Source organism: Homo sapiens, chromosome 12, assembly GCF_000001405.40.
Source record: "Homo sapiens chromosome 12, GRCh38.p14 Primary Assembly".
NCBI lineage: Eukaryota > Metazoa > Chordata > Mammalia > Primates > Hominidae > Homo > Homo sapiens.
This window is the reverse complement of record NC_000012.12, coordinates 76,935,776-76,944,395: the sequence shown is the minus strand read 5'-3', so window position 1 is coordinate 76,944,395 and position 8,620 is coordinate 76,935,776. Positions and strand designations below refer to the sequence as shown.

At 37.3% G+C, this 8,620-nt stretch overlaps 1 annotated feature.

Annotated features, from left to right (window-relative positions):
• Positions 7,131-8,330: an enhancer, noted in NCBI's record as "MED14-independent group 3 enhancer chr12:77329846-77331045 (GRCh37/hg19 assembly coordinates)". NCBI's record gives its function as "activates an origin of replication core promoter dependent on BRD2, BRD4, P300/CBP and CDK7 cofactors, and independent of MED14, by STARR-seq in HCT116 cells {active_cell/tissue: HCT116}" and the evidence as "EXISTENCE:reporter gene assay evidence [ECO:0000049][PMID:35650434]".

The following is an 8,620-nucleotide window of genomic DNA, read 5'->3' as shown; positions in this document are numbered from 1 at the left end:
ATCTGAAGTGGGGGCAGTCCTCTGGGACTGAGTCCTTAACCTGTGGGATCTGCATAATCCCAGGTAGCTAGGGTCAGAATTGAATGGAGTTGTAGGACACCTAGTTGGTGTCCAGAGAGTTGGAGGCCTGGTTGGTGGGAGGAAAAAAACTCCACACATCTAGTATCAGAAATATGTGAGTAAACACAGCCCAGAGTATGTTGACCCCATCATGGCCTTTAGAGACCTTTGTCATTATTGTCAATGGCTATGCTGTTTTTTGCATTATTTAAAAAATTTTTTTAAAAAGCCACTAGTCAAGCATTGGGAAGTATGTATGCCCTGGAGGGAAATTTGTTCCAGTATTTATCAAGTCTATCTTAGAATTTGTTTTGTATCATTATTCTTTCTCCTGGAGCATTATTTTTTTTTAGAAAAATTCAGAAGACTTGACATTTGTATGGATGAATGTGAAATACAATGGCAATATTTTAAGTTGCAAATAAAGAAATAAGATATTTGAGTCAAAAGGACAAATATGTTAGTGCTGTTCGCTCTTCTGACCAGTTTGATGATCCTGAATGGCAAGGTTATAAGCTTCCCATTGAAGGCTCTTTGGGTCATTTGTCTGCAGGATTCTTGCCTGCATGAGAAAAATTGGGATACAGAAATTTGTATGCTGACTTAGAATCGTGGATTACTAGTGCATCTGCCAAAATTAGCTATCAATTTATTCAGTTGGAAATCAAGCTTGAGGGTATTTTGTTCAAGGTTCTGTATTTGTTGTTTTTGTTTTTTATACTTGTAGACATAATGCTTGCATTAAAACTTGACTCAACAGCTCTCTTCTCCTGCCTAATTAAAACTATGGTGAATAATCAACTCTGCCTTTATAACCTAGTATTTGTTTAGCATCTATAAAGTTTCTGTCATTATGATTGACAGGAAAGATTTATCTGTCTCTAATTTGTGTGTGTGTCTGTGTGTGTGTATGAGTGTGTTTGTGTGAATGTGAGGTATGTAGAAGTATGTGTGTACTCTGTTAAGATATCTTGCTATCTGAATATCTTGAAAAATTACTAGTAACATTGGCTGCCTAATAAACTTCTTTTCCAGAGGCACCAAGCCACAGTGACATAAGACCAGCTGGCAGGAAGGGACAGCCTCCTTATGTGCTAATGACTGTCCCTGCAGCCTTGGTAGCTTCTGCCTCAAGAAGCAAATTCACCAGCACAGACCATCCACCTAACATGCCATACTGCAAGGCTGGAAACTTAGCTTGCTGGCACCAGAAGCTGGAGCTCCCATGTGGAGCAAAAGTGAGGCAAAAACAACCAGAGCTGGGTCTCAGAGTGTCCAGAGCACTGAGGGTGGCAGCTGGCATCTGCAGTGGTTTTCCAGATGCTAGAATTACACATTTGTACATGTGAACATTTATACAATGCAGTTTGTACATTTATGACTATGATTCTGCTGGCAGATCTATAGTGTATGGCCCAACACACAAGAGATATCAGAATTATCACAAGAATGTCTTTGTTACAAATTTTCCTAGGACTAACCAAATTCTGAGAGAAGTTCAAATCAACCCTTATCAAGAAAGGAGCACCTGGCCTGCTCTACACCAATTTTCCATAGTGTAAGATGGATCATTAATGCATTTTGGAGGGCTGATTCCCCCAGGAAACTCTAAAATGTATGCTTTGAAAGGAAGGATTATAAGAATACAAGATTCTTCAATGCATTCCCTGAATAAAGATCCTGCAATACGTTTTCCCTTCTGTCTGTTCCCAATAACACTGACATTTAGAAACTTTTTTCACATTTTTCCAGTGTTTGTCATCTTTATTTTGCATTCTTCAGAATTAAATGGCCTTAAAGAAGTCCACAACTGTTTAACTCAATCTCTACATCAAATTACCCTGTGAGTCAGAAAGAAGTGCAAACTCATTTGAAAAGACATCATTATGCTTCCAAGCACAATGCTTAATACAATTTCTATATCCTGCAAAAGTACATATGGTGTCTATTGCTGCCTTTAGAAATGTTAGTCATTTGATTAATAGAGAGGCCTTTGAGGGAATGAGTCTGGAAATCTTGAGTATTAATTCCTCCTATCCCAAAGTGAATTCTCTCTAATGATTTATTAACCACTGCAGTTAGCTCAAAATGAGTTCCTGCAGAAACTGGGTAAAATCATATGGGAAATCACTATTCTGTGTAAACCAGATAAATTATCCCTGGTTTATGTACATGCCCAAGTAAATCGCACCAAGAAAGCAGCAAAAACTAATAATAATAATGTAACTCATCATTCTTCCAAAATGTGATTTTGATTTTCATATTTTAATCTAAGCAACATAGTCAACAAGAAATCATTAGAAAATTACACTGAGTTTTCATGTGAGGACATCTAATAATTCATTTTATTTAGAGTATGTAGTTTCTCATGTAACTTTCTAAACATTTTCTTAATTATTCATAAATAAAATTTTACAGGATGAAAAATGCTTTTACCCAAACATTTCTATTTTTTCCAATTTTCTAATTAAGAAGATGAGATTTGATTCCATTGTTTACTAATTGTAAAGAATTGGGGTTTTTTCAGGAGGTTTTGTTTTGTTTTCTTAATTCTCTGGGTGAAAAAAAGGTTCGATACATGTTTCTTTACCTTGGGACATATGTAATATAGAAACATTTGAGATATATGTGATATATAAAATATAAATGTATGTTTATATATACAGATTTTTAAATACTTTATATTACTATTTTTATTATTTTATGAATTATTAAATGGAAATATTTAGTTAAGTTTGTTTTCCTCATATTTTATACTAAGTAAAACTCTACTATGTAAATGTATACCTCCCTCTTTGCAATTGATTTTGGAAAGTTCTATTTCTTTTTTAAAAAACAATTTTATTTAGCTATAATGGAGATCCAAAAACCACTTACTTCATGTATACAATTTGTTTAGTTTGAACACATACACACACCTGTAAAGTTATCACCAAAATGAAGGGGATCCATCATCTAAAGAATTAAAGATGGTGTCTGCATTTTTGTAAGGGAAGTTATTTTGTATGATTGTGTTCTTTTACTGAAAAAAAAATAAATGTTAACCCCGAACATGCCATTCATGTACTACGGAATTTCATATTGAAAAAATTGTTCTGGTGACATAGCTATTGCAAAGGAATGCTATAAGCAGGTTTCCTGCAGTTCAAATACCATCAAGATGTAATATAAGAAACAGCTATAAATTTTGCTTCTCTACAAATTCTTTTAATGAGTAAAATGCATTTCCTAGAGAAGAAGGGAAGCTTAGATTATTTCATGATATGAATGATAAGGTTCTGAGGTGACAATTCGATTTTAAGCACAACAAGGCCAGGTTCTGTTTATATTTTCTTAATTCCCTTCCCAAATTGTTAGATCCTCCTAAACATGGAATATTACAGATAAAGTTTTGTGGCACTAATTGACTGTGTAGCAATCCACTTAAGCTCCCTGGTAGTCAGTTTCTGGCTTGTGCTAAGATGAAGAACCATCTGCTCACCCAGCCTTCCAAATGTATTATCATTCATCAAACAAGATCATGAAAGTGAGTCTAGTTTGAAAAATCAATAATAAAATAAAATGGATTATTAAAAAATGAAGGTCAAGTTGGCCCACTTGGGCCTAAATAAATCTGGCCTGCAGCCTGTTTTGTATGGCCCACAAGCTATAAATGATCTTCACATTTTTTGTGTCATTAAAAAAAAAGACAGAGAAATATGCTATAGAAACTGTACGTGACTTGCCAAAAATACGTACTACCTGGCTTTTTACAGAAAAAGTTTACAACCCCTGATCTAGATACCACAATTAAAAGCAAAACCAAGGTAAATTTCAAAATAGCTTTCCTGTTTCTTCAATTTAAATTAAGGTGTTAAATAAATGCTTGTATGAATGGATATTTGAAATTTTATTTTTAATACTTTATTGGAGTATACTTACATGCAATAAATTGCACATAAAGTAAAAGATTGGATGAGTTTTCCCAGGAAGTTATTATCTCAATCAAGGTAGAAACATTTCTATCACCTCTGAAAGTTTTTTCATGCTCTTTGAAATTCATCTTTCCCTCCACCTTTGTCCCCAGACAACTACTGACCTGCTTTCTGCCATCATAGGTTAGTTTGAATTTATAGAATTTTATATAAATGAAGTTGTAGTCTGTGCACTTTTTGTCTGGCTTCTTTTACTCCGCATGATTTTCATATTCATCTATTTGTGGCATTTATTTGTAGTTTCTTTTTTTTTATTGCTGAGTAGCATTCCATTGTATGGATATACCAAGTCCATTTATGCATTCACTTTTTGATGGACAGTTTTCTTAAATAAATATGCAGAAGCAAAATTTCTTAGTAGTATGGTAACTATTGCTTAATTATGCAGAAACTGCCAAACTGTTTTCCCAAGTATTTGTACCACTACATTCCCTACAGCAATCCTCAAATGTTAACACTTGTCACTGTCATATTTTTAGCACCTCTCCATGTGTAATGACATCTTAGTGCTAATTTGCATTTTCCCGATGATTAGTGACAAAGACTCTCCTCTTGACTAACCTCTAGTTGAGCTCTTCTGAGTCCTCTTCTTGACAAGGCCTGAAGCTTGACCTATAAAAACTGCAGACTCTCAGCATGAATGACTTTGTCCAGTCCCTCACACTAAGAGACTTGAACAAACACTAGCATCGTTTCTAGCAGCTAAAGTTTGCATCCCTAGAATGACCTCAGCCTCCCTTGAAGTGCCTGCCTGAGAAAGCTCAATGCTGCCAGGAGAATTTAGTATTTGTTTTAGCCAAAACCTGGCAATAGGTAGACAGGTCCCTTGGAGCAGTAACTTTATTTTTTTTTTTAATTTTTCAAATTGACACATTTAAATTGTACGTATTTATGGAGTACAATTTGAAGTTTCAATACATATCTATGTTGTATAGCAGTTACTTTAGAAAGTTTGCAATTTTAAATCTTTTCTCTGAATTTTGAGATATAAATCTACCACCTAAAACAGTTTTTCTCAGGGAGCTGAGAGCCATCTGTTTGAAACTCTTGGTTTTGCTTCCAATTCCTGTGGGAAGATAAGGGTCTAACTTAGGTGGGCACCCTGTTCTAATTTACACCACTACCTACTGTCACAAAGATAGGAGAACTTTGTTTCTCCTCTGAACAAGAACCAGTTAACAAACTAAGATGGCCTGGTCATGTTAATTACCCTACTCTCCTCTTGCTTTTTGTAAATTTCCACTTCCCTGACTCTGCTCAAGCCCCCACCATTCCCCACTCCCTACTCCTTCGCTTTCCTTTAAAATGCCCACTTTCTGTACAAATCAACTTTTTATGCACTTATTGGTCATTCATATATCTTCTTTTGCAAAGTGCCTGTTCAGTTGCCTTCTTCTTATGGAGCTGTAAGATTCTTTATATATTCTGAATACAAGCTTGGTTTTGTTTGGTTTTGTTTTTTTGAGACAGGATCACTGTCACTCTGGCTGGAGTGCAGTGGTCCAATCACGGCTGACTGTAGCTCGATCTCCCGGGCTCAACTGATCCTCACACCTCAGCCTCCTGAGTAGACGGGACTACAGGAGTGTGCCAAAACACCCGGTTAGGGTTTTTGTTTGTTTTGTATTTTTTGTAGAGACAGGGTTTCACCATGTTGCCCAGGCTGGTCTGGAACTCCTGGGCTCAAGTGATCTGCCCACCTTGGCCTTCCAAAGTGCTGGGATTACAGGCATGAACTACCATGCCTGGTCACAAGTCCTTTTTTCTACACACGCACACCAGATGATTTCTGCTAGTCTGTGGCAAACCTTTCGTTTTCTTCATGGAGTCTTGATGAGCAAATGTTTTTAATTTTGATGAAGTTTAATGTATACATTTTTCTTTCATGGATTTCTATTAGGGTTCTCCAAAGAAATAGAACCAACTGGATGTGTGTTTTGCGGGGTGGGAATGGAGAGATAGAGAAAAAGAGAGAGGAATTTTAAAGAATTGGTTCACATCACTGCGGAGGCTTGATGAGTCTCAAATATCATGGGTGGGCTGGCAGGCTGGAGACTCAAGGTAGAGTTGCAATTCAAGTGCACCCCTGGCAGCAGAATTCTCTCTTGCTCAGGAAAGGTCAGTCTTTTGTTCTACTCAGTCCTTTAACTAATTGAATTGGGCCCACTCACATTATGGAGGGTAATTCAAATTTCATTAATTTAAATGTTAATCTTCTCCAAAAAACACCTTCACAGAAACACCCAGAATAATCTTTGACCAAATATCAGCACTGTGGCCCAGCCAAGAGGTCACATAAAATTAACTATCACAGGTTGGTACTTCATGTGTCCTATTTAATAAGTCTTTCCTTACCTCAACATCTTAAGATTTTCTCCTATGTTTTCTTCTGAAAGTTTTTTATATTTATCTTGTAAATTTAAGTCTATGATCTATTTCAAGATAATTTCAAGCTAATGTGTGGTGTGATAGAAGGGCTGAAATGTATTTTATTCCATATGAATAACCAGCTGCTTCAGCACCATTAAAAGATTACCCTCTGCCCCATTGAATTGCCTTGACACCCTTGTCAAAAGTGAATGAGATACTATGCAGCCATAAAAAGAAATGAGATCATGTCCTTTGCAGGGACATGGGTGGAGCTGGAAGCCATTATCCTCAGCAAACTAACACAGGAACAGAAAACCAAACACCTCATGTTCTCTCTTACAAGTGGGAGCTTAACAATAAGAACACATGGACACAGGGAGGGGAACAACACACACTGGGGCTTGTTGGGGGAGGGAGAGCATCAGGATAAATAGCTAATGTATGCTGGGCTTAAAACCTAGGTGGTGGGTTGATAGGTGCAGCAAGCCACCATGGTACAAGTTTACCTATGTAAACTTGTATCCCAGAACTTAAAATAAAATTTTTTTAAAAAATGAACGAGCTATAATGTGTGGCTCTTTTTCTGTGCTACTATTCCATTGGTCTACATTTTTATTTTTATGACAATAATCACTATCCTGCTTCCTGTAGCTTTATATTCTTAAATTCAGATCATATAAGTCGTCTACTTTGCTTTTTATTATTCCAAATTGTATTGGCTTTTCTAGACCCTCTGCATTTCTATATAAATTTGAGAATCAGCTTGATGCTATCAGAATTTGGAAGGGTACTCTCCTTCTTCCTACTCTCTTTACTCCTCCAGCAAGTTGGAGAATGCATATTCCCTGGCTATGTCAAAATATTAAAAGTGAACTTGACTAAAGCAGAAAAATGCTGCCTGGAGATGTGAAGCATTACCATTAGGCTCCAGGCTCCTAAACCTGAAGTCCACCCTAGAATATACTTCAGTACCCTGGTCATCTATAACTGTGTTACCCTTGCTGACTCATCAATAATCAGAAAACTGATTATAAAGATTGCAAGGCTCTTGTATCGGTTCGAACCCTGAGAGTGCACCAACGAACAACTCAAGGCCGTGTGGAGCAACACGCTATTTTTAGTGAGCACCTGGGTGCAGGCGGGCTGAGGCCTAAAATGGCGTCAGTAGCAAATGAGGACGGGGCAGGGGTTTTAGAGTCTTCTGTAAACAGGAAGTGTCTCAGTCTGATGTAACTGCTACGTGGTACCTGGATGGCCTCTTAGTCTTCAGGGGGTACGTTTCTTCCGGCCAGCTCTCTTCCTGCTTCTGCTATCTTGCTGACGCACTCTGCTGGTGCAAGTGGTCTTTTGCCTTGGGACTGGGCCTGAGAAGGGAGGAGTTACTCATTCCCTTAAGCTTTCAGGCCCGAGGGAGAATCTTTCAGAAATGATTTAGAATATTGAATTGCACATATTGATTTGATCTCTCTGCCCCTTTTTATTCCTAATTTTTTTTTCTGAGACATGGTCTTGCTCTGTCACCCAGGCTGGAGTGCAGTGGTGCAATCATGGCTCACTGCAGCCTCAATCCCCTGGGTTCAAGCAGTTTTTCCCATCTCAGCCTCTGGAGTAGCTGGGACTATAGTCGTGCATCACCACACCTGGCTAATCAAAATATATCATTCTCCTGCTAAAAATCCTTCAAAAACTATTCTTCCTTCTTTCCTTCCTGTCTTCCTTCTCTTCCTTCTACTATGTAATACTACCCTTCAAAACTAAACTATCTTTTTTTTTTTTTTTTTTTTTTTTGAAAAGTTCCTAACTTCCATTTCTTCTATTCCAAACAGGGAGAATTATCTCTTCTGCAGCATCTACTTCAGTGGATTGTTCACATTCATGTTCCTGGTTGTCTCCCCATTGAGTCTGTGAACTGTTTGATGACAAAATCTAGCTTTGAATAAACTCTGTAGCCCCAGTGCCTAGCACAGAGCCTGGCTACACCAATATACAATAAATGGTTACTGGGCTGAAATCAATAAACTTATGGCATTAATTGGCCAGACAAGACCATCTAGGAAAAGAATGCATACCAGGAGAGAAGTTCTCCAGACCCATAAATTAATTTTCTCTGCTGAGATTAAAGGATAAAATATTGAGTCACAAGAAGCAGAGTTCACTAGGAAAAATTTCTAGTTCAAGAGAATTGAAGAACGAAGACCAACTATGTGTCAAGTGGT